Below are 26,640 nucleotides of genomic sequence, written 5' to 3' on the forward strand. Positions count from 1 at the left end.
CAGCTGGTGTCACAGTGACTGGTTCCACACAAGCCACTGTCATGCAGAAACAACCTGGTAGTGCCTTGTCTTGAGCCACAAAACTCTTACCTCTCATTCCCTGCTTCAGGATTCCTCTGAAGCTACTAGACCATGCAAAGAATACTCAGCTTTCATGCATGCACACCCCAGGAGTGCAGGGAACTTAATGCCCACGTAGCTAACCTTGACCAATGCAAGAGGGAAACTGATAGTTAAAGGCTTCTTCCTTTTGACCCTGGAAGCCAGTGCTAAGATGCACTTCCCAAGATTCCTCAGAAGTGTCTTCAGAATTGAGCAGCAATCAGCAACAGCAGTAGCCAATTCATTTATATGCCTTTGCACTGGCTTTCCCTGTGAGTTGCTGGAGTCAGCTGACACTGACTCAGGGGAGCTGATTGTGCGTATCTTTCCCCAACTCCACATTTAGCAATGGAAATTGGGCATGGTCAGAGCATTTACACCATGGAAAATAGTAAATGTCATAATCAGGGTTAATGCTTTTTCCAAAAAGTTGGCTAATAAACATTTACCAACACATGACTGCTTTATTTCCTTCCTTCCTCACCCACTCGGTTCCTAAAACCTGATTTCTCCAATTCCATTACCAAATAAACTACCTGGACAAAAGCTATTGTATCAGACTCTGCTTAGACTAGAGTCTAGGCTGAAACAAATACTTTCCTTAGGGTGTTGTTATGAGGTTTAAATGGGATCATATTGTAATAATGTGACTATGGCCAAGACTGAACAGCCTAGACCTAGAAAAATATACCTATCTTAGATGGTTTTATTTTTCTGAAGGTCTCTTAAGGACCTTGAGACTAAGGTACTTGGAATTTTAGCTGTCAGGAACCCTGAGGCTAGAAACAAGGTGGGTGTTAGGATGGAGGCAAATGGGACTTCCTCCAGTCTTGTTGCCTGAACAGGGTGTCTTGGAAAGGTTGAGAGAAAAATGTTCTGGTGGGGTCCTGCCGAGGAAGGCTGGGCTTGCAGCACCTCTGGGCTGTTAGTGTGTTCCATCCTTCCAGCTTCTCTGCCAGGTATTATAAAGCTTGAACTCCAGCCCCAGCAAGAAGCAGCAGAAAGAACCTGAGCTGATTCTTTGGTCTTGGTGGAGAGTGAATTTCAAGCATAGCATGTGGCTGACTCTGAAACCCCTTCTGACCTTTCCACCTGGTTTGTGGGCGTACACATCAAGAAAATGGCTGTGTTTGTGTACATGTATGTGTGGTTTAGGCAAAGAAAGCTGTATCCCTAAAGCTGCACTGTTCAAAATGGTACCTACTAACTACATGCAACTAGTATTTAAATTTAAATCAATTAAAATTAAATAAAATGTTTAATTGAGTTCTATAGACAACTAGCCATATTTCAAAAACTAAATAGCTACATGTGGCTAGTGGCTATCATATTGGACCATCCAGATATAGAATACTTCCATAATCACAGGAAGTTCTTTTGGAAGGTGCTTTAAAATAGCTGTGTTATTCGGATCCCAGGCCTAGAGTGTTGTCAACAACCAAACCAATAGGGAAGGATTCTCCTCTATTCCCTACACCTGGAAGGCTGTATGCATCAATGGAGAAGAAGGATTCGCCTCTATTCCCTACACCTGGAAGGCTGTTGCCAAACTTCTGAGCTCCCTTCCCACACTGAAGCCAAAGACAACAGCCCGGGCACTTGGGAACACCAGCGACACCTTGTAGCAGCAAAAATGTCGCTGGTTTCTGGTTTTCTGAACTGGTTTCTTGTTTTCTGTCCTCTGAACATGTGTAACCAGACCATCCCACTGTGCTTGAGGAGAATTATAATATTTAGTGATCATTTCCCACGTGGCAGAGACTGATAACATTGCTCTGATTCGACAAGAAAATATACGTGAAAAACTTAGCACCGTCTCTGCAGCGTGGGAAATGGGTGCTTGGGTGCTTATTGATATTACCCCCATTTTAGAGTTGAAGTAACTGAGGCTCAGGTAGACTAGTCTGAGCGTCTTCATGGTGAGGCTGGGAAAAAGGCTGTTCTTGCGCTAATGGATGGGATTTCGTAGCCATGTAATTTGAATATTTTTTTTAAAATGACTTCATTCTCATCTCAAAATAATGAAGTGGGATAGAGGATGTATAAGTGCAGAGCTAAGGAGGAATGTTGTAATGTTAATTTTCTTTCTCCATCCCCTCATTTTGGAGAGCTGCCTTCCTGTCAGACTTTTATTATCCACGGTGGTAAATCAAACTTCCCAATTTGCAGATTCCTAACCCCAAAGGAATACCTTCAAAGACTGTACTTCAGCAAGACTGTATATAGTTCGGAAAATAAATTCAATTATATTTGAAATAATAAACTTGTTACCAAATTATATGCCATTTAAGAGAGACAAACAATGTCCATTCCGAGTTCATCTGGCAGACATTTAAGAGCCTTTTTATAAATGTTTAGCTAAAGAACAAAATTATAGTATTACTTACAAAAGTTTTTCAAGGTCTCCAATTGCCAGGTTTTTTGCAACTCACAGACTGTCTTCTGCTGCATATCAAGTGTGCTTTCTTGAGCTTCCACCACCTGTCAATCATTCTGAGTCCTTAATTAGGACTCTTCCAAGGAGACTCTGACATCCCAGAAAGTGATGCTTCCAGTCGGCTCCTCACCCCCTTTCCCAGATCAAAAACCATGTCAGCAGACACGGTCAAAAGTGGCGCTTCCTACTTCGTGAGGAGACATTTTAAAGGGCAGATTTTTTAGCTATGAGTGGAGGAGACAGAGTGTGCTTTGGGAATGCTGAGTTGTCGGAAGCCAGGGCAACAGAAACGCTGTGCCTGACAAAATGGCTTCCAGAACCCCACCACAGCCAACAGCAACGGAATGTTCTGATGATGCCGTGTGGCTAAAAAGTTATAGGTATTGACTCCTGAAAAGTACACACTCATCAAAAACAGAGCCGGACACTGCCGACAGGGCTTCCAGGCACCAGCTATGTCCACAGCTGTTCTGCTTCACAACTTCCCTGATGAACCAGCATTGTTGTGTTGAGGAAGGGTTGTTCTATGCTGCCTCTGATTCAGAAAAGCCAACGAGAGCCAAGAGGGGGAATATGAGCAGAAGCAAAGGGCAGCTGGGGCTAGCCAGCAGAGAGGAGGGGAGCCAGATCATGAGCGATAATTGTTGGGAATGGAAAGAACATGGTGCTAGAATTCAGAAGACAGGTGCTATGGTCCTGGTGGGGTCGTTAAATCTCACAGCCTGCACTCTTCTAAAAAAAATCTTTTTTCTTTTTTTTATTATTATTATACTTTAAGTTCTGGGATACATGTGCAGAACGTGCCTGCACTCTTATTTAAATGATACCCTTGCTTCTGGAGGACACACTGGCTACTTGGAAAGTCACCACATTGAGTACCACCCCAAAATTACATGGGCCTCACCCGCATTGAGTCTTTTTTGAATCCTAATTCAATCAGCTCCTCTCTCTCCATTTATGGGAAATAGGTGACTGCCAATCCTCACCGCCAGCTGCTGCTGGCCCTGTTCAAGGACTCTTGTTTCCGGCACTGCTGTGGCTCCGCCCCCAGACGCTGGATGCTCTTGCTGCTCAGGCTCTGCTATTGTTACCAAACCAACCTGGCTCTGTCTGCCCACGTGCAATGGAAAGCCAACACCAAGGCATCAGCCTTTTGTAAAAAGAAAAGTTTACTGCAAGGCTGCCAAGCAAGGAGACAGGAGGAGTCTGGCTCAAATCTGTCTCCCTAAGCTGGGGGCTAGAAGAGGTTTTACAGGCAGAGGGCAATGAGGCATTATCAGATTGGATCTTGCAGTGAGGTGATGTCAGGAGGTGTGATCTGACTGGATCATACCATGGAGTGATGCCAGGGCTTGATCTGATTGGATCATGGATCATGCCTTGTGATATCTGCTTCTTAATGAGGTCCCCATCCTTGGTCTGAGCACTTAAGTTTCTCCTGTGGTTGCATACGGGGTTTATCTGGGCATGCTCAGGTTACAAAACTTGAAACCTGGGGTTCATGGAAACTGAAAAAAACAACTCACAACTTTGATACAGATTAGTCTGGCTTTAGAGTTACAGTCTCATGGGCAAGAGCAGAGGGACACCAGTCTTCCTGGCTTGGCATCACTGTGGCGACCTCTTTGCCATTGTCTCTGAACTTCAGATTCATAGATATTTCCATGAAAACAGACTTTTTTCCTCCAAATGTGACAACTTACTCAGTCAGTGTTAGACATCTTAGTCTCATACAGGGATCATCAAAACCTAAGGTAACCATATCACTTATATCACATCATTTATGCTTCTGAGAGCACAGGGGAATTATTAATAAACCTGCAAGGATAACACGCATAAACTTGGCTGTCTCAGACAAACTAGACTTATGTCCAGCCTCTCAAGAAAAGAAAAAACTCAACCACTCTGGGCCCTGAGGTTTATCACCACCTCTGGGGAAAGCAAGCTTTTCAGGGGCCAGTAGGAGTGATGTACGGGGCACCTACTTGGGGTTCACATGCTGGCCCCTTTATTGAGTTCATTCTGAATCCAGAAGCTTGGCAGAGTTCAGCCAGATGGCAGGGTGAGCGCCCTGCCTTCCTGGTAGTCTCTTCTTCTGCAAGGGAATAGGAGGCGTTCACCCTCCTTTGTTCAAGAGTCTATTTCTAGGGGCCTATCAGCCCAGGGTCCCTTCTCCAGCTTTCTCAGGAGGCCCCACATCATCAGGCAATTAGCTCTCTAGTGGGTATAACTGCTACTGCCACAACCACTGTCCCAGGGGTAGGGTGGTCCTAAGTGTCCAAAGCCAGAATAAATCTACAAGATGTGTCTCTTCTCAGCGGGAAAGGCAGGCTAGAGATTCGCTATGGAACTATGCTTCCAGGACAATTTGGAGCTCGACAGAGATGACAGGATCTGATATTCAGATTGGAAGCCTCCAGATGCCTATTTTGAAGAAAGGCAAAGAACAAGAAGACTGAGGGGAAGAGAGTAAAGTCAAATTTTATACACAAAGCAAAGTAGCAATTTCTAAAATGATGGAAATGCCAATCCATGGAGCTCCTTCACCTAAAAATACCCCCAGTTTCTTTTAAAATGTCCTCACAACTGAGGTGAGAGGGTTTGGCAGTGGGGAGGGAACAGGATCTAGCAGGGGACAACTCTGAAAGCAACAATCATCACTTTGTGAATCACTAACCCGGCTTAAGAAGAGCCGCTCGAGAAACACCGCCAGCTTGTCTCCAGCTCGTAGGAAGCAGGAGGATCCTGAGCAGAACTGCCTGGGGCCTTGCTGGATGTCGGGCCACGCACTTTCCAGAGCAAGGCTGGCCCTGCCAAACTCAGACAGAGGGCTCACACTTTTTCTTACCGTGGAAAATAAAAAGGAGACAAGTGTTTCCAAAGCTTAATAAAGTAAAAATCCAATATGGAATTTCTGTAATGGTTTCATCTATATAAAAACCAGGTCGTCATCTGAGCAGAGACCCGAAGGGAACAAGAAGAAATGTAATATTCACATTATAGGAGTAGCAGGGTGGTAAAGATGATTTCCTCTGTGTCTTCTTTTCCTATTATATAGTTATTTCCTATTGTATAATTTTTTCCATTACCTTTAATGGCAAAAACCGCAATTACTTTTGCACCAACCTAATAGCAGCTATAACATTAAGAATAATTTGGCCGGGCACGGTGGCTCACAGCTGTAATCCCAGCACTTTGGGAGGCCGAGGCGGGCGGATCACTAGGTCAGGAGTTCAAGACCATCCTGGCCAACATGCTGAAACCCCGTCTCTACTAAAAATACAAAAATTAGCTGGGCGTGGTGGCGCACCTGTAGTCCCAGCTACTCCGGCGGCTGAGGCAGGAGAATCGCTTGAACCCCAGGAGGCGGAGGTTGCAGTGAGCCGAGATTGTGCCACTGTACTCCAGCTTGGGCAACAGAGCAAGACTCCGTCTCAAAAAGAAAAGAATAATTTAACTGGATGAAGAACTCTTGAACACTAGCCATTTCAAAAGAAAAGAATCCAATCTATGCAGTGGGAATACGCCTTGCAGCAGACTCTCCAGGCTCCTTCTGGGCCAAGGAAGCTTCATCTTCCCCATTCAGCAAGAGCCAGAGGATTGGGTCTTGGGCTGACATATTGACAGTGTGATTGTAACAGGATCACAGTATCTCCACTGTATGACCAGATGAGGACCCCCAGCTTGCTCCTGCCTGCTCTCTCAGAGCCATCTCTCTCAAGGCCATCACACAGAGAGAAGGACTGAGCTCTCCTTGACCTCGTTCCTTCTGGGACCCTGGCAGAGTGATTACTTTCTCTTACCTTGGGAAACACGGTTAATCAGTCAAAACCTTGTCGGGCTGAATCCTACTAAACGTGACAAATTCTATTTCTTGGATCATGCTACATTTTAAAGCAAACTGTAGTTGCTATCCGAACGCTGGCCTTGACTCTATCTTGGGGTGAGAAGAGCAGCTGAAACCTCTGTGACCTTTTCCACACAGAACTTTGTGGGCTGGGAGAGGCTTTGTGCACTTCCACAGACATCTCTGTATTTTAGGTTCTTTAAAAAAGCAGATAATAAATAGTAGCTAATGGGTTGAAATGCTTCCTATGTCCCAGGAGCTGTGCTGAGCAACATCATACATGATTTTGTTTAATCTCTCCCTATGACCTTCATGCCATCCCCATGACATCTACTCCAACTCCTACATAACTTCCGATTGCTGAGCTCTGGGGGAGAAGGTGCAACAATTACCCCCACTTCACAGATAAACGAAGAGGAGTTTTGATAAAGAAATCTAGCCAGGCACAGTGGCTCACGCCTGTAGTTTCAACACTTTGGGAGGCCCTGGTGGGAGGATTGCTTGAGCCCAGGAGTTTGAGACCAGCTTGGGCAACACAGTCAGACCCCATCTCTACAAAAAAATAGAAAATAATTAGCCAGGTGTGGTAGTATGCACCTGTAGGCCCAGCTACTCCAGAGGCCAAGGTAGGAGAATTGCTTGAGCCCAGGAGTTCCAGGCTGCAGTGACCCGTGATCACACCACTGCTCTCCAGCCGGCGCATCAAAGTGAGATCCTGTCTAAAAAAGAAAAGAAAGAAAAGAAAAAATTGCCCAGGGTCACATTAAGTGACAAACCAGGATGGGAAACCAGGCCTTTGCACTCCAAAGCCTGCTCTCTTAATCACTATGCATATATTGTCTCAAGCAAAAAAGAAGTCCTGTGGTTGATATTTGGGAGATTTAAACTAAAGTTTTCTTTTTCTGTTGTTTATTTTAACTTCCCAATACTCTAAATCTGGAAGGGATCAAGAGATTATTTTCTACATAGGCTTTCATTAAAGAGGAAACTGTCATCTCTGGGCCCTTGAGTCAATCTCAGCTCCAAGAGAATTATGAGTGGCCAGGTCAGGTTATGGGCCCAGTCTTGGGATGGTGAGGCTGGCAGGAGATTATCAATAGAAAAGGAAGGTGAGAAAAACTGTTCGTGGCAGAAGCCATTGTTGCCTGAATCTGTGGTCCCAATCTCCATGCACACGCTCATTTCTCATTCCTCAGGGAAGGAAAGTGATTCCCCATCACCCACCAGGACCATGGGATGCTCACCCTAAAGAATTTCAGTCTATAAATAAAGCTGGTCATGTCCATCAGACAGGCTAAGCCTTCATCTATCTTGACATATCGAACATCAACAAGGCCAAAAACAAGAGTGAGGAAGAAGAGAGAGTGCTGCTGTCACCTCCTCTGACTCAGGGTCTTACTCACTGGTTGTGACTGCAAGTCCATATGTGTGACCAGACCCAAGCCTAACTGGATTCTTCTGCAATGAGGAGCCTCTCAGCCTAAGAGTGGAGCAATGCTCTGCCTGTAGGCCTCTTGGAGTCAGGATTACAGTCCATAAAAGAGGTGTCCCTTCCTGCAGGCCAAGTAGTCACCTGTAATGTAATAATAACAGTGGCCATAATGGAGCATGTGCCATGGACCAGACACTGTGCTCAGGACTTTACATGCACCATCTCATTTAATGTTTACAACAGCCCTACGAGGGAAATGCCATTACTGTTAGCATTCCCATTTTACAGACAAGAACACAGAGGCTTATTGGATTTGGGGTGGTAATACTGAATTTGACTGTGATATGTGTTCTGCTCATTTCTTAGTACTGCTTTGTGTTCCCAGGAGACTGGCCTCTGTGACTGCATCAGTAGGGCCTTTTTGCCCTGTGGTTCCAGTTGAGTTGGGCTAATGGGAGGCAGTGGCTTGAGCTGCAAAGTCAGAAGAGAGGTGTGGCCATTTATCCCTCCTCCTCCCTCCCTGTTGGGCCGGTTTTACCACTGGCTGTATTCCTCCTCTTCAGCCAAAGCTCCAGTTCTGTGGGCCCCTCCTACACGACAGCTCTCCCTAGGTTCAGGTAACCCTGTTCCTGCCCCTTTTGTCCCTGAAGGCAGAAAGGTGACAATGGCTTCCCCTGCTATTAGTCCCTGGGGACTTCACAATCCCTCGCTGGTTACTTTAACCTTCCCACACCCTTTGTTAAACTCTCTTCAGTAACATTATTTGAGTATATCATCTCTTTCCTGCCAGGACCCTTGGCTGAGGCAGAAACTGAATTTCTTGCTCCAGTTAGCACAGCTAAATATGGTAAAGCTGGGATTAGGAATCTTGGCAGTCAGACTCCAGAACCCACATTTTACATCACTATCTACATTGGTTAAAGCACCAAATAAGGCCACCAATGACACAGAAAGAGGAATCTAGCGCCTCATTTCAAATCCTCTGTCCTTTCTCAGATGCTACCATTTCGGCAAATAGGATCCACTGTCAGGGCCGAGTCCTGGGCCTCACTTTCTCCCGAGACTGTCAAGGTCGCCCCCATTCTCCCAGAATAGCCAGGGCCACTGTGAGAAGGACCTGTCCAGAGGCCCAGGAGCTTAGCAGGGAGACTTTCTCTAATTCAGGCCAGGCACATTCTCTCACTTGTCTTGCAGAGGCTAGCTGACCACAATCACCCCTACAGTGGGATCTAGATATTGTTATATGGCACTTAATCCAGAACAATGAAAGCAGAACCTCTAGGGGTGGGCCCTGGGCGGGTTAGTTCTAAACACTCTTCTAGTGTGTCTAGTGTGCAGCCATCTTTGGAACCATGGTACTAAACTGCAGGCAGCTGTTCAAATGTTACCTGTCATCATGACGTGTCCCTCCCAAGCCTGCGGTGAAACAGGTAGTAGCCTTTCCATCAGGAAAGGGGGTGGGGAGAGGAGGGGACAGTCATGTTTAAAAGTGATGGAATGTTTTATAGTATCTGAAGCTGATCCACAAGCGCTTCCAAGGCATGCTGCCTTAGGCACGAAGCAGCCACACAGCAGGCATATTCTATATGATAAGGTTTTTAAAATTTGGAGAGGGCTCAAGTCAGCTGAGTCAATGATATACTTGCTTCTATATCCAGCGTGCTCTCGATTAATAAATCCTTTGAAATGAGCCATATATAAACAAACTCAGATCCTAATAAATCACGCAAAGGTGAGCTCCTACTTGCCTGCCATTAGAACCACATCAAAATTTCCTCAGTGCACAGATTCCACGTGTCTCCTCCCAGTGAAGAAGATTTGAGTTTGAAAACGATCTCATGCTTTCTACTGCTATGCCTTCTTCTCTCTTGCCACCTCTGCCTTTTCTGTCTCTTCCACTAACTAGCTGTGGGACTAGAGCTAGTGAGGTCATCTTTCCAAGCTTTCCTTTCTTCATCTACTAAATCTGGTAGTCACTGGTTCTCAAAGTGTGACCCTGAGATGAGGAGCATCAGCATCACCTGCGAGCATGTCAGAAATGCAGATTCTCAAGCCCTACCCAGACCCACTGAATGAGAAACTCCGGGGTGGGGCTCAGCAATCTGTTATAGGAAGGCCTCCAGGTGATTTTAATGCACACTCAAGAACTATTGTTCCCAAATATCGTTATGAAGCTGTTCTCCACAACCTCCTTGTATGGTTTCCTTTCTTTGATGGCCAGTTTTCTTCCCAGGATGTCCAAAGCCCTCATTCTCTCTACCCCTCACTGAAACATGGTAAGTTCTGAAGACTTTTGCACCTGCAGTTCCTTCTGCCTTGAATGCTCTTCTCAATGGCTTCTTCACATCCCTCAGGTGACCTCAGGGTATGAAGTAGTTGGCTCCTAATATTGTCTACCCAGCAGACAATAGATTTGCATTGTAAGACTAAATTACCATCTATTATTATTTTATTTATTTGCATATTTTTGTCTCTCTCTTTCCCCTAAAATGTAAGTTCATGAAGTAGAGACCATATCTATTCATTTGCTGTATCCCCAGAACTTAACAATGTGTCCAGCATAGCCAGAACTGTTCATTAGCACTTTCTGTGAAGATGGAAATGTTCTATATCCACTTTGTCCAATATGGGAGCTACTAGCCATGTGTGGTGGCTATTTGGGCACTTGAAATGAATCTAGTATGACTAAGAAACTACATTTTAAATTTTAATTTAAATTAATTTAAATTTAAATAGCCATATGTAGCTACTTCCTACTGCACTGAACAGTGTGGCTCTAGACAAAAAAAAAAAAAAGCGTATTGAACAAATGAATAAATTCCTATCAAAAGCACTAAGAATGTGATTTTTTAAATTTGACATTGATTGGTAAATAATATTTTCATTAACTCTGATTCATACAATCATCTTGCCTGCAAAAAAAAAATTCTTTTTTACTCTACTTTTGGTAGGAACTTTTTTTTTTTTTTAAATAAAATGTTTTCAAGTTATAACCAGCATTCTGGTAAAAATTTTTAGCTGAGAAGTGGAATGGTAAAGGTAGAAACTAAAGTATATTAAATTAGCCTTCAAGGTAAAATCGAGTTCTTCTTTTTATAGGAGTTTTGGGATGGAGGGACCAGAAGGAATGATCCACGATCTCTTCCTACTTCTAATGGACTATTTTTACAGCCCTGGCAAGGCCGCCTATAAACTCTGGAACTGCTGGGGATGGAGGAAACTCTGTCTCCTCTTTAGCAGAAGAAATATGGTGAGGTGGAAGGGAAAGAATACAAGCAAAAGCACTTGGATTATAAGTCATCTTAGAAAGTTATTTAACCTCTGAGCCTCAACTTCCTGACATAGAAATTGAGGTAATAATGCCTACCTCACATGGCTAAGTATGTCAAGTGCTTGGCATGCAGAATGCATTAGTTCCCTTCTTTCATGGCCAAAATTTAACAAGTTCCAAGAGAAATCTATCTCCTGGGAAGGTTTTTTGGTCTCTCTGAAATACTCCCAGCCCTTATACTTTTTGAGCACAAGTCAACCTTCACTCAACCTTATCCTAACCCTGTTTTGCCTATTTTTCTGTCTTCTAAACTCTTAGATATATAATTTTACACTTGGGGGAATATTCATCGTTATCTTTGTTAGTAATGGATGATTTGACATAGTGTAATCCCTTTTATCAGATGTACTGGAATATATTCACAGCCCAAACTTCCTTTTCTTTAAAATAAAAGATAGGCTAAAAATGAGATCCAAGGATCCTTCCAGCTCTAAAATTGCTATATTCTCTGGTTATAGAGTTTCTAACAAGGAAGCATGTGGCCTAAATGTGTCACTTCATTATTAGAAATATCATAGTACTAAATTAAGCTCTGATGTCCCAAAATATCCCTGCACTTTAATACCAGATCACAGTTTCTTCCCTTGCTTTGTACCCTAGCCTAGCCTGTCTTCTTCTCTCTCTCTCTCTGTCTATCTTAGTTTGTATTCTCCCAAAAACAGAACCTGAGACAAAAGCTTAAACACAGTAGTTTGTTTGGAAATGTGATCTCAGGGACCAGGAGTATAGGATGGAGCTGGGAACAGTGAAGGAGGGAAAGGATTAGTGAGGATGCATTATCAAGGTGGCCACTGTTACAAGTGACTGGCTCCAACAGGATTTCTGAGAAACTTGATAAATCGCAACTCAAAACTGTCTGCCTGAAAGAGGAAAAGAGAGCAGTTATTCATCAATCCTCATCCCCCTTGATGGACAAGGGTGGCCTCACAGATATCAACTCCCTCGTACTTCTGAACTGTGCATGCCTTAGTATTGACGTGCTTCCCAAGGCATGGTGTCAGGACAGTCCAGCGTCAGAGAAGTGAGAAAGCCACAGCACAAGGCTAGTCTCTATCAGGCTGCACCCATGCAAAAGCTGATTGACACCTGCACAGACCTGGTAAACACAATAGTGGCATGAGCAAGAGGATCTGGAGTGGTGTACAGGGAGGTACAATCCATTTCTTGTGCTTGTTTTTTGTGCCCTTCTTTAAATTCAGTCTATCAGAGAATCCCTTTCATGGTGGTGGCCAGCCATAGTCTCTGCAAAGACTTAATTCAAGAGGGTTAGTGGAACAAGTTCCAGTTCTACTGTTCCAGCTGATCCCAAGATCATAATATTCTTCATCTCCCTCCTCCACTATCCACTTTAGACTTTTCTCACCCTTGCCTGATGTAGGCTCATTAACATCTTGCCTGATCTAGATTGCTTGCTTGGAGGGTGACCTTGAGTGTGAGAATGACAGCACAATCCACCAATGTGAGTCTCCTGATACACTTCCATACAGATCCTCTGGCTTTCATGACATGCCTTATGTTGCTAATTAACAAACCTGAGCCTGTCATTTTCTTCATTTGCTTTTTTCAAAGCCTCCAAAGCAGTCTAAACACACCAGCCAGCTCAATCCTTGTTATTACCATTGCTCCTGTACTATTTAAGGACCACGGCTATCACACCACCCAATGCTCTGCCTCTGCCTGCACCTCATCCCAATCCACCTCAGTAAGAGTCTTAGTAACTGAGATGGCGCTGGCCAGATACCACCACTCCACCCACCTCCAAAAATGGAGTCCTTATTACCTCTGAACAGTGAGTGATCTCACTCCAAAATCCCAATTATTGTAGCCTGAGTTCCCCTGAAAGCAGGACCTCAGACAAAGTCTTGCATGCAAGTAGCAGTGAAACAAGGAAAGAGAGAAGGCCAATACAAGGATGAATTTTCAAGGTAGCATTGCAATGGACAACCAGTGCTCAATCCTAAGGACTATTCTGAGAAGCCTCATGAAACGTATCTGAGAACCGGCCACATGAGCAACAAATGGTGGGAGGATTTATCCATCAGTTTCCATCCTCATTCGTTAAGGCCCACCAGGTTAGCCCCCCTAACATTTCCAGGTTGTACATGTGTGAGTGACAAGTGAAACCCCACAATAACCCACACCCTGGCAAACTGGTGGAAGCCTGTGCCAAACTAAATGCTACTTAGGTGACTGGAATAAAAGATAGGATTTGAAGTGTCTGTTACACTTCCTCTAAGAGGTGTCTGATACACTCCCTCTAAGATGTCCCTTAGGTTCCTATTTTCCCAGGATCATTCCAGTTTATGCCTGTTATCCCATTGTAATTAACAGTGTCCCCACTTTTTTGTTTTTGAGATAAGGTCTCATTCCATCACCCAGGCTGGAGTGCAGTGGCATGATCATGGCTCACTGCAGCCTTGACCTCCCAGGCTCAAGTGATCATCCCATCTTAACCTCCCAAGTATCTGGGTCCACAGAGGCACATCACCACATCTGGCTAATTTTTAATTTTTGGTAGACACAGGGTCTCCCTACATTGCCCAGGCTGGACTCAAACTCCTGGACTCAAGTGATCCATGTGAGCCAGCGCACCCAGCTGTGCCCCTTTCACTCTCAATTGTATCCCAGTTTAGACCATAAGGATATATTCACTTAGTGCACTCGCTCTCTCTCTTTCTCTCTCTCTCATACACAGACACCCATCCCCCCCACCTTCTACCCACCTTCCAACACACACACACACACACACACACACACACACACTTTGAGAAGCACAAAAACAATCCCCCATAGAATTGGTTTATTCATAGTTGTTTTCTTCTTCATGGTTGTTTTTCTTATTTTTTACTGCCCTTTGCAGAAACGTCTCTTGATACAATGCATTTTGCGTTCATTGAAATAAATGAAGAGTGCATCCAAAGAAACCACCTTCTACTAAATCTTTAAACAAGGAACAGGTCTTGTGCCACACATTGCATTTTAATAAACTTAATTTAATGAAGCGCTGCATTCCACAAGTACAGTCAGTACAGTAGCTCTCCTTTGGGATGGAAAAATTACAAGAAGCAATGCCGAGGACCGTGAACTGTATACAGAAGCCTTGTGGATCTAGAAACCAACAGTGTGTGAACTTAGGACATTCTCAAGTTTTAAAACGTGGCCATTATAATATCATCACATTACATAAATATCACATCACCAATATTCGTTTTGTTTTTTTCTTTTAGAACCAAAAAAAAATGCTTGTAAACTGCAAAATTACTTTAGATCACTGCGATAAATCTGAATTAACTACTAGGTACCGTCAGCCCTTCATATTTGTGAGTTACACATCTGTGGATTCAACCAACCCTGGATGGAAAATACTCAGAAAAAAAAATCAGTACAGAGTAGTGTCTGTACTAAACAGGTACACACTTTTTTTTCTTGTCATTATTCACTAAATACAGTAATAACAACTAATTACATAGCATTTACATATTAAGTATTATATGTTTAGAGATGATATAAAGTATACTTGAGGATGTGCATAGGTTATTCGCAAATACTACACCAAGTTATGTAAGGCGCTTGAGCATCCATGAATTTTGTTATCAGCAGGGAGTTCTGGAACCAATCCCCCATGGATACCTAGAGACAACTGTAATTGCAAACTACTTCAGTGAATAACAGAAGCTAACTAAAAACTTAGTTCTGAATGATTGGATTGTCTGTTGCACTCTACCTACTGAAGCAGAGTGTTTACATGGCCACAGGTAATTCATTCAGTAATTTCAGGGTATGACTCAAGATGCAGTATTCTTCTCTGCGGCTCTTCGCCTTGGAGCACTTGGAAGATGCATTATCTGCTGAAAAACCAATGTTCAGTGTGGGCTGATATAATAAAAATTAAATACTTTAAAAACTGAATCAAAATCATAGCTAAAAATCAATGCTATATAGTTTCTATGACATGAAAAATCTGTGAACAAATCATTTATTACAGGTCTTGTTTTATGTTTCTCTTGTCAAAGATAATTATTTATTACAAGTGAGGTTTCTGCCATCAGCAGAGTCAAGGGTAACCTGGAGTGCCTACCTCTTTGAATTGTGATACTCAATCGAGTTTATCCATGTTAAGTACTGAGCACAGCACTTGGCCTACAGCAAGAGCTCAAGAAGTATTTGTGATTTTATTATCGCTAAGTAAAAATAAATTTGAGTTTCACTAAGATTTTTGAAATTCACATTTTATTTGCATGGCATAAAACTAGCCTATTCAACAACTCCCCATAATTAAACTTGAAAAGATCCTGATTATTTATAACAGAAAATAATTATGTCCCTAATTCATTTATTTGCCTTTTTTTTTTCTGGTTGCCTTTGATTGACTTCTGACCTTAAGCATGAACAGAAATGTGTGCTAAAAAGCCTGGTCTTTCCAGTGAAGAGTCAATCAGTTTGCCAAATGCTTACTCCATAATTTTAATCTAATAACATTTTACTAATAACATTTTATGAACAAGAACTTACTTTCACATCCAGACAATATTTTTAGAATAAAGCTCATTGCACCTTATAATGTGCTTTATTTAATGTCATCTTCTACCATGTGCAAGAAGTTTGGGGGAGTATGGGCTAGTAGAGATGTTTACAAAGGTCTTGATTGAAAGACCCACAGGGCTTTGTTAATTGGTTTTAAAGATACTTACAATTTCTCTGCAAATACATAGAACAAAGACAATAAAACGTTATTTAGTAAGATATAAGTCCTATTGAATCAGTTGGTACCCACTTTCATTTATAGACCCTTCAGAGCTGAAAGGGATGGGGAAGAGGGTGGATGAAGAAGGTCTAATGGAGAATACACAGAAGAAGCAGAAGCCATGGCTCCTCTTTTTAACAATGACAGAGAAAGGAAAACAATGGACATAGCAATAAACATTTGCTCATTTAATTTTAGTCAAGTTAAATCAAATGTAAAAAATGTGTGCCCTATAATAATAAATGACACAAAAATACTAATTAGATTCAAGAGAGTTGAACTGAATAACCCTTTAATCAATTTAAGTCACACAGTAAGTGTCCTTTTCCCCAGTATTTCTCATAATACTACATATTAATTGCGCTTATGGTTATTCAGTCTTATTATTTAATTATAAAAGCTTATAGCTTTTACTTTGGGGGCAAAGACAAAGAGAAGAAAGTGTTCTCTAATCCCTTAAGGAACAAGAATATGACATTTGCCAATGTGCGTTGTGTTTATGGAGACTTCTTTCAACTCTGTTCTTATTTTCATCCTATGGAGGCATCCTGAGGTAAATGGGCAGTTATGGACCATCAAATGCGAAATAAATGTTTTAATGAGGAAACACAGCTTGCTCGTTCAAATACAACTTAGGATTTTCACAAGCTGTTTTCCTTTCTTCTATTCCTCTTAAAACAACCATGGGAAAACATAGCTACAGAGAGGTAACAAAATACTATGTAAATTATAATCCTGATTTTGTATAAAAATAAAAGTATTTATTGCATATCATAAATGCATAGGAAAAAAAAGATTAGAAAAGTACAGACCAAAATGTTACCAATGTTTATTATTGTTAACATTTCGGGTGGGACTGGAATGATAATTATTCTTAAGTTTTTCTGAATTTTCTCAATTCTGCATATCATTGTCCCTGAGGCCCTCCAGAATCTGGCCTTGTGCTGATATGGCAACTATGGGAAACTTGCTTTATTTTTTATATGCTAAGGAAGGTAAGTGGCTTGACGATTGCCCGTAAGAACTGTCAAAAGGCCACAGAAACTGCTCAGCACCAGGACACAGAGCTGCATTGCTTGATTCTGCAGGCTGCACATCTAAGACCAGATGTTGTCCTCATACATACCAGCCCTGAGAAAAAAGTTTCTTGGATTTGTTTTCAAGAAAAACAAGATATTGAGCTTTGTTCCCTTGTCAAAGAATAAGAAACTCTCCTATTAGCCTTTACAAATCAAGACAGTCAAACAGATCTGAGATAGTAACTCATATCTAGGGATCAACCAAAGTAATCCCCTAAAGGTATTAGGAGAATTTTCCCAGATATTTAAGTTTCATTAAATGCAAAGTTAGTTCACTGGTACCTACTATTAAAAGTAACAGAAAATGGCGAGGTGCAGTGGCTCATGCCTGTAATTCCAACAGCTCAGGAGGCTGAGGCAGCATAGCTTGAGCCCAGGCGTTCGAGACCAGCCTGGGCAACATAGTGAGACCCTGTCTCTACAAAAAATAAAAAAAAAAAAAATAGCTGAGAGTGCTGACACACATCTGTAGTCCTAGCTACTCAGGAAGTTAAGGGGGAAGGATCACTTAAGCCCAAGAGTTTGAGGCTGCAGTAAGCCATGATTGCACCATTGCACTATAGCCTGAGTGACAGAGTAAGACCCTGTCTCAAAAAAAGTAAACAAAAGAAGTCACAGAAAATGACCACACATTTACACTTTGTAAAAATTAATGCTGCCTATACATTTCTGGCAGGCTTGTAGGTTATTTTTCTCAGGCCTAGATATGCTGGGATAATACAGGGTCAGCCCCTCCAGAAGGCAGAACACTAGACCATCGTATCTAGAAGCCTCAAAAGTCCCATGACCCTAGTCAGCTTTAAATGTTGTCTTTTCCCTCATCTCTCCATCTAAACAATCTGCAAGTCCCACTGTCTACCCCTGCTGAACACCGCCAGAACCCATTCTCCCCTTCCATGTTCATTTCTGCAACCTTGGTCCAGGCCATGATTATCTCTCACTTACATTGCTGCATCAACCTTGACCTTCACTGGTGTCTCTGACTCCAGACTTTAACCTTCCCAAACCAGTCTTCCTATTAACTCAGGCCTGATCATAACACTTCACAGCATAATATTTTTGCATGACTTCTAATTGCCCTCAAATAAAGTCCTCATTCCTTGACAGGACCTAGAGGATCCTTCCCATTCAGCCCCGTATTTCACATAGCATACTACCCTCAACCCCAACTCTCACTCCCCTAGAATACCTAGCACCCCAGCCAGGCTAACTACTTGATCTCTCACCCCTGGCCTTTGCACATGGGGTTTCTCTGGCTAGATCACATATCCCCTTCTCCCCTTTATCTGAATAACCCCACTCATCCTCCTGGCCTTAGGTTTGATGTTACCTGCTCTGGAGAAGCATCCCTGATCTTCTTGACCCAGTTAGATATTCCTTTTCTGGATCCCAGTGTCTCTGATATGAAATTGCCCATTTTCTGTCTTCCCTACTAATCCATAAGCCCTTTCCAGTCATGGACTGTGTCTTGGCTCCCCCAACACTTAACATATTACCTGACACATAAAAGGCATTCAATAAATACTGATTCAGTCAGAAGCAATATCAAGTGTTCTTGGTTTGCTGAAGATAGAGTCTCTAGCCATCCTCACCCTCCTCGGCAAAGAACCAATCAAATCTTTGGGATTCGATTGGTTCAACCACAAAACCATTTCCTATTCCTCCTCCTTTACCTCTTACATAAAGAGGGAAATAAAGGAAAATGACCATTGAAGGTTTTGTATCAAAATTCCTTTTTGGAAGACTACTTATAATTTCCTACTTTAGTCTGTCTGGTCATGAAGAAGTCTGAACTACACAAATGCTGTGGCCATGTCATGAGACATAAAATTAGAGAAATGATTCAAATGCTTTTGGTCCCTTCCTTTATTTGACTGCTAATTAGGAAGAGAATATTGAGATGGACATGACACTGGTTAATAAAAACCTCAGTTTCCTGAACTGATGCCAGGTTTATTCTTTTGAGACTAGAGCAGATGATCTACCCACCTTAAAGGTAATAAAATAATCCAAGTGGATGCCCACTTTGCCTGCAACTTTGCTTGCACTCCATTCCTATACCTATACACTTTGAGAAAAAAGATAACAGGATTTTCCCCCCACAGATAATTCTTCTGTTTCTACTCCTCAGTTCCTCCATCCTTAACCCACAAAAGGTTACACCTCTCAGCAACATCCATCTGAAGAATTTATACTCTATATTACAAATTGTTGATGGTTATCACTTACATAAGTGATCTTTTCCTGCTGCTTCTTGAAAAGAGAAAGTAGGATATTTGCTTTACTAGGTGGAATATGTAAGTTTTTTTACATCAATTTTTTTGTGCTTTTACACAAACTAGAACATGGGAGCAAATGACTTGTTTCTTTGTGCTTTTGCTGCTACTTACTGAGGGAATTCCTTAATTACTTCCTTCCTTCCTTCCTTCCTTCCTTCCTTCTCTTTATCCTATATGCACATGGTAGAAATTTGGGTTAATTAAAAGGGAGTTAGATATACCTATTACCCCAAATAGGACACTCCCAGTGCATTTGTATTACAGCGGCTTGCAAAATAAATGCTGGGGTTTTTTTCTGCATGCAGAAATTAAGCAACAGGATTATGTTTCCAGCTATGTTAACTGCCAGTCTATAATTATCAGGGCAACATCTCTCCACAGCTCATCTTCAGCTTATCAGTCTAGGAGTGCTAAATGTGCACATGTGGGACTTTTACTAAGTCAGTACCATTATTTTGCTTTCAAATTATTTCCTATTCCTAGAAGTTTATATTCAGTCATTTGAAGACTGTGCAATTAAAGAAGATATCTAACTGAGCTTAAGCTCATTTAAAGTAACCAAGCACCTTTTACCTCCTCATCCATCTTGGACTTCAGTTCCCCACCCCCAGCTATGTTCATTCTAACTACTATGAGATAATATTATTTGATGGAGAAGGTGGAGGCAAAATGGATTTGTGTAGCTTTATGGTCCCTTCTCCTGTTAATGATCTTCCTCATTTGTATTCTTCTCCTTGCTTTTCTCTATATTTTTTCAAGCATTGGTCCATTCAGAACTTTGGCATCCTCCAGCACTTTCTAATGTTTTGTGCCATTTTTATATTTGCCTTGCATTATGATTTTCCTCCATCTTCTTCTACCATATTTCTTTGCTTGAAACCACACCTTCACATACCATAAAGGGAAGAGATTTTTTTTCAGTTGTGTTCCTGCCTCTTCAAATTCCTCTGTGGTCATAAAAAAGCCTGTCTTGCCAAAATGTCACGTAGCTATAACCTTGCGCCAAATAGTACATCTTGTTTCCAAAAGCTGTTTTTTTGGCAGCTGGTAGGAACATGGATTATTCATATCTGCAGAAATCACAATCCCTGTGGAGGATTTGATTCTTCTCCCCCAGGTTGTGGCTGTGATTGGAAATAAGGTGTTTCATTTGGACTTCTACAGGAAGAAGACACCTGGAGGCAGACACAGAAGGAAGAGCGAGGTATTCAGTATGCTCCATGCACTCTATGTAATTTTCGGATACCTATATAAAATGTTTTGGCTTTTAACGCTTAGCATTTGGGGAAAAAAATCATAAAATGAAAAACCACTTTTAATTGACTCTTCAAAAATTACTTTAAATGTGTTCTAAAACTTGGCTTTAAAATTTCTTCATACAGTTTTGACCTATGTTAAGAGATACAGGTACTTTAAGAAAGTGTTTCTGGAAAATTGTATTTGAGGCAGTTTATCAGCTGAAGGCACAGCTAAGGCATCGCTAAGGGAATCTGTTACCCTGGGATACTAATTAACTCCAAATATTGCATATAAATTAAGCTAGCAGCTACTGAAAGAAACAGCTTATGGGAAAGAAAAAACTAAAGAGGTTGGAAAGAAAAGCACTGTCTTTTCTAATTAGAGAAAAAGACATCAGGGGTATGGGAGAAACCCTTTTCTCTCCATCCCAGCCTTCTATTCTTTTTCTAGTAGCTTCCATCCTTTTCTCTTTCCTTGTTTTCCTTTCTCCTTTCTCCACAGCAGGTGTGATTTATTGGATAGCATGACCAGGGAAAGTGTCTCTTCCTACAGGGGACTGCTCTCCTTGTCTCTTTTGTGTGTGTGTGTGTGTGTGTGTGTGTGTGTTTGTGTGTGTGTGTGTTAAGAACATTTAATGTGAGATCTACCCTCTTAACAAAAATTTTTGTTTTGTTTTGTTTTTTGTTTTTGTTTTTGTTTTTGAGACAGAGTCTCACTTTGTCGCCAGGCTGGAGTGCAGTGGCGCAATCTTGGCTCATGGCAACCTCCACCTCCCGGGTTCAAGCGATTCTCCTGACTCAGCCTCCCGAGTAGGTGGGACTACAGGCGCGCTACCAGGCCCAATTAATTTTTTGTATTTTTAGTAGAGATGGGGTTTCACCATGTTAGCCAGGATGGTTTCTATCTCCTGACCTCATGATCTGCCCACCTTGGCCTCCCAAAGTGCTGGGATTACAGGCGTGAGCCACCACACCCGGCCCTCTTAACAAATTTTTAACTGCACAGTACGATATTGTTAACTATAGGCACTATGTTATACAGCAGAGCTCTAGAACTTATTCATCTTGCATAACTGAAACATAATTAATCAACATCTCCCCACCTTTAACTTTGCCCAGCCCGTGGCAAGCACCATTTTGCCTCTGCCCTTATGAGTTTGATTATTTTGGATACCTCAAAGAAGTGCAATCATGCATTTGTCCTTCTGTCACTAGTTTATTTCACTTAGCATAATGTTCTCCATGTATATCCATATTGTCACAATGACAGAATTTCCTTATTTCCTATGGCTGAATAATATTCTACTGTATGTATATACCACATTTTCTTTATCCATTCATCTATTGATAGATATTTGCATATCTATCAATGCAATTTCCATATCTTGGCTATTGTGAATAATACTTATAAGCTTATTGTGAATAATATGCTTATAAGCATAAGCAATGAACACAGGCGTACAGATACTTCTTCAAGATCCTGATTTCTATTCTTTTGGATATATGCCCAGAAGTGGGATAGTTGGATTATATAGTAGTTCTATCTTAATTTTTTGAGGAATCTTCATACTGTTTTCCACAGTGGCTATCCATTTTACATTCCCACCCACAGTATACAAGGATTCCAATTTCTCCACATCCTCAGAAACAATTGTTATATTTTGTTTTATTGAATAATAGCCATCCCAATAGGTGTGAGGTGGTATCTCATTGTGACTTTAAATGACCTTGTCTCTATCATAAGGAAGTGGTTCTCTAGATAGATCCCTCCTAGCTGTGTTCCCAAGCTTGCTGGGGCATGAATACCCCAAGCTCCTTCCCTGGAGATTCTAACTCATCAGGTCTGGGGCAAGGCCTTGAGATCTGTATGTTTCACAAGTGTCCCAGGTGATTTTTATGAGCCTGCAAATTCTGGAAACACTGCCTCTCCCTCCGAGAAGAAGACCTAGTTCCTGCCCCTGCGGTGGGATGCTGGCAGTTCTGGCTGGGTAAACTCAGTCCAGTGGGGATGGTGTTCACAACTGAAGCTGCAGGAATCAGCCCTCCTTTCCAGACAGCTTTATTTGTTTCACTGTTAAATGTTTTAAGCCTAGTTGTTTGAATAAAAAGTTGACTTTCTATTTTAATTGTGCAAATATAAGCATACTTGTCACTTATTTTGGGTAAACCTACAAGTGCCTGATTTACTACTTCTCAACTGGACCACTATATAACCACTGGCCAGCACTTCCATCTCGTAGCAGCATCTCTAATCCCAGGTTTTGTTTAAAATATGACAACCTTTTCTGATCCTCTTAATAATCTAAGCCAACCACTGAAAATCATTATTCCACAGCCACCAGCAGCAAGGAAAATGGCCAAAATAAACATGTCATTTGTACCATCCACCGACCTTCCACTCAATCCAGATGTTTAAATGGGTTTGTACAGAAATGTACTCTAAGTATAATCTTTTCCTTTAAGAAATCATGTGTCCCAAAAAGGACCACAGAGATACTGTGTTAAGCCAAAATTCACATACATGTCATCCTCACGGACCTCTGAGAAATGAAAATATGGGTCTGTTATTTGGGAATTTATTACACTACAGTTTGAAGATTCAACCTATTAGCCATGGTTTAGTTAAGACTATAGATTGAGTAGCCCAAGGCAATAATGGCCACTAGTATCACCCATGTGCTACTCAGTTAAGTGGCCTACGACGTATTCTCAACAAATAGTTTGTCAAGAATACAAAGACAGTAATGCCACACCATGCTCACTTACTCCCAACCTTAGAAACACTTACAGCAAAGGGCTGCTCTTAGAAAAGGAAAACATCCCTTATGCAATATCAGGATGTCTCTACTCGTGAAATTACAAATCACTTCTGAGTGTCATGATTCTGAATTCTATTTTTAAAATCTGACCTTGAGCTAATTTGCCAGTTGCTAACTTCTATTTGACTGTACAGAGCTTTTCACTTCTCTTGATCAGTTTCACATATTTGCTTACATCTCTTGGCAAAAAGAGTTAAAATTATTTGATGAAAATGTTCTTGTGAGCCAGACATTATTCAAAAACGGATTCTAGGAAGGTTTATTAGTTCCATAGAGGTGATACTCAAATGTATGACTGTAAAGGAAATAACTGATAACTGAGATGGGGAAGGAAAGAACTTGTGTGTGAGTAAGAGAGAAATTAGAAAGGCATCATTCATTTAACAAAGATGGAAATTCACATCAAACGTTCCTTGACCAGGCAGCTATTCCCTGCTATTCCCTTAGAACCTTTGTTTTAAAGAAGGACCCTGAAATGTCACTGCTTCCACCAAAGTCTATGAAAAGGTTACTGAACTGAAGATAAGGGTGCATGGCTGGGTCCAAGTGGGTTCTCACGCTGATTCTCTCTGGGTACAACTTTGGAAAATCATTTCACTTCTCTGCTTCAGTTCCATCTTCAGTCAAATGGGAGAATAAAAACATATGTCCTACCTCACATAGTAGCTCTGAGGAATAACTGTGCAACTTTTCTTGAACATAGTAGACAACTTCTAATAAACACCAACAAGTACTCCACAGTGACAGCACTATTAATAAATAACTTTTATTCTTCCATGGCAATGAGCCAAGCCTTTACCCCAAAACTCAACTACAAATCCTCAATCCCTAGATTCAAATAGCGCATTGGAATATCCTATTTTGTATAGGGCAGGGAATTACATTCCAAGGGAGATGAGAAATGATTGAACATATTTCAATATCCTCATAGCGGGGTGCCCTGAGAGAGGCTGGTTTCCCATGAGCTCTGTTGTTCACCAGGACTCTGGCCACTGGGCAGACAAACGATAGAATGTCTATTTTTCTAATAAAGCCATATAAGGACCAATGGTAGCCCACCTTTTCCATGGTGGAGTCCACAGATGTGGAAATACAACACTCTGAATTAGTCACATTAGCAGCCACATAAGCATAGAACCAAATGGCAGACAGAAATGCTCTGAGAGCTTACCTACCCTCATCTCATTCTTGAATTCTTCTTCATTTTTTCTCGGCAAAATCAACTAGCACACAAAAAGAATATCTCTTAATCATAAACATGTATGACATGTATGATTGAGTCTGTTGGACTCAATCACACTATTTAAGACAGCAAACGTACATTAAGACTAAGAGTCAGTTTAATGTATTATTTCTAGTGCATTTTTTTCCTCGCCAAGAATAAAACGGAAGGTGAGAATAATAAAACTAGGAGACTGAAGTACATAATGCAAAATACATACAAATCTACATATAATCCTAATATGCTGAGAGAGCTTCTTAATGAAAATGATTTCATTCTGAGTTACTGCTAGTTTGATGCAAATGCAGTATGTACCATGGCCCACAACCCTGTGGTTTCAAGTAGGTAGAGTATATCTTGAGAAGTTATTCTTTGTTAAGATTTATATCTCAGAGTCAAGCATGCCTTGGTGGCAACAATCATTATTCTCAATGCAGGTAATTCAAACCAAGGAAAAGACACTGTGGAAAACTACAAAATATTTACTCTGCCTAATGTAGCAACTCCTACTGAAAAACATATATGTTGCATATTTATGAGTTGTAGCCCACGGTTGTGGAAAATTCACTACAGAATAAAACCAAATACTGCATGATACGTTTAGTATACAACATGCCATTTCTGCTCAGTACAAGAAAAATCTACTACCCAGCACCCAGCAGACACTAGGACTAACGGCCTGATAGCAGCAATGTGGCAGGTTGTTCTTTTTTTTTTTCTGCTCCAAAATAAAAATTAGAATAGTAGCATCGTTGAATATCCCAATTAAAACCCAGTCCAATTCAAAATTCATCTTCAGAGCTGTCGGCTAAGAGCATTACTCGATCTTGCATGCTGTTGAATTCTCTCTGCTAGAGAAAGAAAACAGAAAAGCATTAAACTCTTTCTGCCACAGAGCAAAGCTGAGAAACAGGCCCACTTTAAAAGACATGCTAACAAACGAAGCCAAGGCAGGAGCTACAGCAGCTAATCCAGACCACTGGGCACGTCAATACCACCCAAGCATCATTAAACCCCGTGTGCTTTATTAAGTAAATTAGATAAGCAAAGAATGTTCTGAAACTGATTAGGTTTTGCTGTTGTTGGTTCCATACCTTTCTTTTATGCCTTTTGAAGCCATTTCTCCTTCGGCGATTCATAACCTTAATGCTGTAGAGGGCTCCCAAGATGAACAAGGCTCCAGCTATCCCAACCCCTACAGGCACCAGCATCCCAGACATGTAACCAGCCTGCATAGAAAAGGAAACACACATTAGGATGCTAAACAGAGCGCGCCGCCCTGGGTTTCTCATTTCTGCTGGATGGCAGCAGGTTTTTAGACACTTTGAATTCTCCTGTCTGCTTTGTTGTAAGATAAAACTAAGCCTAAAATACAGTAACTTTTTAGGGAGAAGGCAACAGAGAGAGAGACAGGCCTATTTTGGGGATATTTCAAATACATAGAAGTATTGAAATAAATCAGCCAGACCTAGTGGCACCTCCAGCCACTAGCTTATGCACATTTGTCAACCTCAGGTTCTGATGACAGAAATATAATTTGTATTAAAGATGGATGAAGTAAGCCTCTGAGAATGCCAGGACTACTAAAATGCTATAAATTGGAAATATCAGCCAGAGTCAAGCTTAAAGGAGGTCAAAGTGTCCTCTGGAATAGTGTGTTTGCTGGGGGCTAAAAGGAGGGCCTTGACAGTGGTGGTCCTCTCTTCTCCCTCTCTGTCTGTCTTGGCTGCATTACAGTAAGAAAAGAAAGATGAAAATGCTTGTGGGTAAAAGGGGAGGGCTTCTGAAAACAAGGAAAAAAAAGGCCTGCAAAGGCAAGAGGAGGAATGTTAGATGTTGGAGCAAAGGCAGAAAAGACAAGGACAAGGGGAGAGTGTGCACACAAAATGGATGGACTGATTTCTGTGAATGGAATCACCTTCCCAACAGACAAGACAAAGTTGGAGGTTGGGAGGGAATTCTGAATGTCCCAGCCCCAAAGAAAGGAAGTGGCAGAGAAGTACACAAAGATCACTGCCAACAACACGATACCTCCAAAAGATCCTGGAAGTGTCAAATTCATCGATGTCTCCAGGGTCTCCAAGGTGTCACTATGGATACCTTTATCCTC

General features: G+C 41.6%; 2 protein-coding genes across 2 annotated transcripts in view; both read right to left on the reverse strand.

Annotated features, from left to right (window-relative positions):
• The window catches only part of SLC35F4 (solute carrier family 35 member F4), a 419,262-nt gene extending 415,504 nt beyond the window's left edge, over positions 1 to 3,758 (reverse strand). The window contains exon 1 of the mRNA XM_011536723.4: positions 2,490 to 3,758. Coding sequence (XP_011535025.1) covers positions 2,490 to 2,553 — 64 coding nt within the window. The 5' untranslated portion in view covers positions 2,554 to 3,758. The remainder of the gene's footprint in view (positions 1 to 2,489) is intronic.
• A 17,579-nt stretch (positions 3,759 to 21,337) lies between these two features.
• The window catches only part of ARMH4 (armadillo like helical domain containing 4), a 151,453-nt gene continuing 146,150 nt past the window's right edge, over positions 21,338 to 26,640 (reverse strand). Inside the window, exons 7-8 of the mRNA NM_001001872.4 lie at positions 25,625 to 25,759; positions 21,338 to 25,381 (exon numbers count right to left, since the gene is read on the reverse strand). Coding sequence (NP_001001872.2) covers positions 25,313 to 25,381; positions 25,625 to 25,759 — 204 coding nt within the window. The 3' untranslated portion in view covers positions 21,338 to 25,312. The remainder of the gene's footprint in view (positions 25,382 to 25,624; positions 25,760 to 26,640) is intronic.

This window comes from Homo sapiens, chromosome 14, assembly GCF_000001405.40.
Source record: "Homo sapiens chromosome 14, GRCh38.p14 Primary Assembly".
Classification (NCBI taxonomy): Eukaryota; Metazoa; Chordata; class Mammalia; order Primates; family Hominidae; genus Homo; species Homo sapiens.